This window comes from Homo sapiens, chromosome 2 (genome assembly GCF_000001405.40).
Source record: "Homo sapiens chromosome 2, GRCh38.p14 Primary Assembly".
Lineage (NCBI taxonomy): Eukaryota > Metazoa > Chordata > Mammalia > Primates > Hominidae > Homo > Homo sapiens.
In genome coordinates this window covers 154,909,219-154,914,850 of record NC_000002.12, presented here as the reverse complement: position 1 = coordinate 154,914,850, position 5,632 = coordinate 154,909,219, and positions in this window count along the sequence as shown.

Sequence of the window (5,632 nt, the reverse complement as noted above, 5' to 3'; positions counted from 1 at the left end):
AGAAGATAGCATCCTGCCTATCTTGGGTAATAGTTTCCCAGCAGGGGCAATGAACTTTTGCCTGAGGCTTATAGAAAGAGGAACTCTAGGCTGAAAATAAAAAGTTGTTTGCACAAGAGAATCTTAGAGGCATAAGGCATAAATGGCTCTCAAGAATCCAGATGACAAATCAGGAGGAAGTTAACATTTATCTCACTTTTGCACAGAGCATAGTAGGAATTCGGCTTATCAGTATTTTAAGGATGTGGTTCTAAAACTTAGAGGTACATTGGAAACACCTGGGAAGTTGTTAACATTCAGATTCCGTAGGTCTAGGGTGTGCCTGATATTCTGCATTTCTAAAAAGCTCCCCAAATGTTAATGTATCTGAACCCTGAACCATAGATTACACTGTGAGAGTAGGAGGGATCCAGAGAAATTCAAGTGATGTGGGCTGTGGCCATCAACAAGGGAGCTAGAAACAACAACAAACAAATAAAAACCCAAAAACATAGGAGGAATGTTTGCAAAAGAACATGCAAATCAACTGGGAACCCAAAATTATCTCGTTGAGGCTTTGAGGTAATCTATATTTCCCCTGTTATTCACAAGCAGTGCAAAGTCTTTCTTAAAACATAAGCAAAATTCTGAAAGTGTATATTTTCACAGCAATTTTGGACTATCAACACCAGTGGCTGCTCCTCCACCCATTCTCACTTGAATTCTTCCTCTCATGAATAACTGCTTTCTGCGTTAGCACACTCATCCAGAAGGAAAACCAAGTCAGTTTTCCACATTTTCCCCCCAAACTATTTACCAAAAACCATTGCATCTGAAGTCTTTAATGCATAGCAAATTTTAGTGATGCTTTAAGTGGTGAAGCATTTCTACGTATCAGAAATGCAGACATCTACCACTATTCTTGAATTCTTTAGCTTCCTCACCACTGATCATTTCTCTGGCCACCGTACCCCAAAGAACTCAACCTCATCTGTCTTGTTGCATTGCTACCTCACTTCTCATGTTCCATTTCTCCCTGCTTGCACCAAATAAAAATCCCTTAATAATGTTTTATAAATAACAATATGGCTCTTACTTTGTGTTCTGTAGACCAAGGCATCAAAGGCCCAGATTTCCCCTCCTGAGACAGCATATAAAAATACCCTCCCCTAAAATAAAAATAATTAGTAAATGTTTAAAAAATTATTTCTTACAGAATCCCTGGTAGCAGCAGTTAAAATGTTTCACCAAACCATCTATAAATGTGTATTGTTTATTGACTGTCAAGTATATGCACAGTACAATGTTATGCATGTCATTAGGCTTGCAAAAAATAATTCTACACTTCATCACTAATTATTTACATTGAAGTTATGTCTCACTAAGTCTTTAAAATCACAGTTTTAATAGTTTGCATGTGTGTGTTTTAATTTATTCATCTTAGCCAACATGCTAAATTAAAATACATATTTATTAACATATGTTTATATATATTTAATTTTATGTGGATAAACAAATGTGACTAAATACCAAATTGTTTTTATTTAAGGACAGTTTGTTGTTGTTGTTGTTGTTTCTTTTCTTCTTTGGTTGGTAACTCCTTACTCCTCTTCTCTTTTTCACCCTATAGTTGAGCCCCTATTCCAAGTCTAATTGTTAAGAAAAAACTGAATGTCTTCTTCTATTGTTCTCTGTACTAATGGAAAGCTAAATAGAACCATATATCTATCACACACACACACACACACACATGCATGCATGCATGCATGTGCACATACACATATGCAGAATAAACTAGACTGATGATATTCGGTGGCTTGCTTTTCTCATTCAATAATACATAAGGAAAATCATTACATAATCTCATGTAGCTATAATTCATTGTAACATCTATTTTTGACTCTTTAAAATTTATAAATAAATGGAAAAAAAGTCTATCAAATGCTCTTTCTCTCAAATCAGTGAGTTCATCCCCAAGTAATCAGCAAGAGCAATCAATAAATCAATAAAATCATAACTTTTATAAACCTAAAATTATTTCATTAAAGTAAACATTCAAATCCCTAAAATGACTACAGATTTGTGTCTTAAGAGACCTCACCATACTTTTTGGTGTAGCAACCAAAAGTTAAAGTTGTTCATTTGTATTCTTTCATGAGTTGGTTCAGCTAGGTGTAGCCACAAGAGGAGACACAGGCGAGGCTCAGGAAAACAAAATTTTTTATACTCACAGGTCCTAGAGGCACAAAATGCCACCTGAGTTCACATGGGAAAGACACCGTGGTAGTCAGGAGGCAGAAGACAGGAGCTAGGGGAAGAGTTAGGCCACTGCCTTTATTGAGGTTTCCGAAGGAAAGGTAAGGCAGATGGAGTGAACCATTGGTGATTGTCTAGTTTGCATAATTACAAAAGGCGTTGGGCTACCTGGCTGATCTCTGGTTCCCTGGCACCTGGCCCTGGGATGATTAAGGCAGAGGCATATTGCCTCCTGGGTTTATGAGCCAGACGGAGGAGATAAAGCTCCTGATTGCTTGGTTTCCATATCAAAGACATGAGCCCTTTATTATATTTAAGAATTAACTAGCTCAAAGAGGAGCAGTCACGACCTAGCTAGAAAAGTTTAAGATGTCAAAACATCATAACGTAAAGAAAATATTAAAGTATTTTAATACATTGGTTATTATTTAGTTTACCTGTAGAAGGCAATTAAGATTTATCTTGCACAGATGCATTGATTTAGAGATCAAATTACTTGCAACTATATTGTGAAGACCAACATTTGGAAGACTCATTTTGCTTTTCTATTTTTAATTGACATAATGAGGTGAGGCAATAATTTTTTCTCTTGCCAAATAATGTTTTCTCTTGCTAAAGATGGTAAATATTCTTTCTGCAATTACAACTTTATTACAACATCATCACAGACCAGAGGCACTCTCAGGCAATGCAGTATGGTGTAATGGAGAGATTCCTCTCCACTCTATTACTAATAGCTCAGTAAGCACAACATCAATTAATTTCTGTGACCTAAATGGAAAAAGGTGACAGATTACATTAAACTGCTAGAACATTACAGAAGGCCATGCTAAAATATCAGGCATTAGGATGATGCCAGGAGAAAACAAAGAAGATATAGAAAAAAATAAAACACATCATAATTGTCAGAGTCAAATCACAATTAACACATGGGTTTGTACAAGATAGTTTAAAATATGGTCATCTTATGAGTAGAGAATAAATATTTCTGCTCCCTCTCTCATAGCAATAACATATTATTAAGAGGCCAATACAGATATTCCCACTAGTAACAAAAGACCATCAAGTTTCTATATCCCCATGCGAATCTCTTAAAACTCCTGATATCGAACTGCTGGATTTTTGCACAGGGCATGTCAGAATGTGTTATGTGTGGGGATACTGGAGAGTAAACTCTGTTGCTACAGATGTTTTTATCTGAAATCACTTGTTCCAGATCCCAGCTTGGCCTTTGGTCTTTCTTCTCACAGGAGGAAAAAATGCTAACAGTGTTATCTTTCCCTCTGAGAACAGATATGTCATTCCTTTTATTCATTTGTTATTTATCCCTTGAGTTTCTTGCCAATATATGTAGGCTGATGCCCTAATTGTGGTAACATCTTATCCTTTAAAAACAACTAGACTCAAAACTAGGCTTGAGATAATAAGAGGCATAAGAGAAGGAGAAATGTAGAAGAATACATGTGGTGGAAGTGAGGTGAGGGTAATTGAAATGTAAGAAATGGAGTGACATAAAGTGCAAGAAATGGAAAAATTGAAAAAAAATAATAAAACCATTAAAACTCCTAAAAATGTAAGGTCTACTCTTAAGGAAATATTTTCCAGAACTTTGTGGCATTGATTTGTCTTCTTGACTCAATAAACTGAGCTATCATTTGAAATCTATTCTGACACAAAACTCCTGTTTCATAAATGTTAAGATCTATAGGTTTATTGCACAATAAGATTAGGATGTATCCTAATTGTTGTTTTCTTTGCTCATACATTACAAAGACACACGTACACACAGAAGAAAAGAAAAGGATAATTTTTAATAAAATTATGTTACTATTTTAAAATACATATTTGTGTGTGATAATTGTGAATTTAGATAATTTCTTAGAAAAATACATCTAAGACAAATTTGCAAAACAAAAGAATGTGAGGCTAATAATGCTGTTTAATCACACAAAATTTACATGTCATCCTTGTCATTTATTCCAAGCAATATAGTAAAATGCTCTACAGTTTTTCTGTTTTATTCTCAGCTTCGCTTATGCAACTTAACATGCTTTTTTTAATGCTGTACTTTCATTTCTGACTGAGTGTGCATTTATTTCATTTTATTGAAATTGTGGTATGCCATATGATTTATCCTCATTTTGTTGGTTGAGAGAAACTTTTCGTTCACACAATACGCTGCATTGTGTTCATTGCTAAAAGTAAATGCTTTTATTTTTTCAGGGTATAGTCTCAAACATGAAATTGCAAAGCCTACATTTATACTTGATTTTATCCTTATTATTAATTCATTATTCTTGTTTAATTATAATTTACTTGATTCTTAGCATTCTTTTAATTTGCATTTCTTCCAATACTAGTAAGATTGTATAAGTTCAATGTGATGAACACATATACATATACACATACAGGTGATGCTACTACCTGTATGCTTTGTGTAAAATCATTTGCTCACTTTGAAGTCTGCTAATGTTAAATCTATAATAGGGAGTCTGATAGTGGCATAAGAATATACATGTAGATCAATAGAATAGATTTAATGATTCAAAATAAACTTTTATATTTGTGGTACATTGATTTTTCACAAATGTGCCAGGGCAATTCAATGGGGGGAAATTTGACTTATCAGCAAATGGTACTGGGGCAATGAAATATTCATATGTAGAGCTTTCTCTTTGATTCACACAATACACAAAAAATTAGCTTAACTGAATAATAGCTCTCATTGTAAGAGCTAAACCTGTAAAATTTCTATAAGAAAACATACAAGAAAATTTTCATGATTTTAAGTTCTGGATTTCTAAGATATGATACTAAAATCGTGATCCATAGAAGAAATCAATGATAAATTATACTTTATCAAAATTAAAAACTTTTGTTTCAAAAGATGCTATTAAGAAAATGAAAAAGAGTCACATACTAGGGGAAAATATTTGCCATTCAGATATGGAAAAAAATGTGTCTTAAATATATATTTAAAAAATATTCTTAGCCCAATAAAAATGAGAAAAGGTAGTGCTGGTTCAAGATGGCTGACTAGATGTAGCTAGTGGGCACCTCTTCCATGGAGAGAAATAGAAATAACAAGTAAATATTTACGCTTCAGACAGATTATCTAAGAAAGAACAAAGGATTTCATCAGAGAAGTGACAGGAATTATGGAAAGCAGATGAGAGAGAAGCCAGGCAGCCTGCTGGGCTGTGATCAACATGGAGCTGGGAGAGACTCCCTCACTTGTGGAAGGGGTGAGTGGGGAACTACTGAGGATCCACACTTTCTCTGAAGACTTTTATAGTCCTAACTACAGGACAGCCTCTCAACCACCCAAACCCAGGCCTCCAGACTAACACAGAGAGCTGCCTACAGATTGCACAGAGGCATTGCTCAAAATTGCACA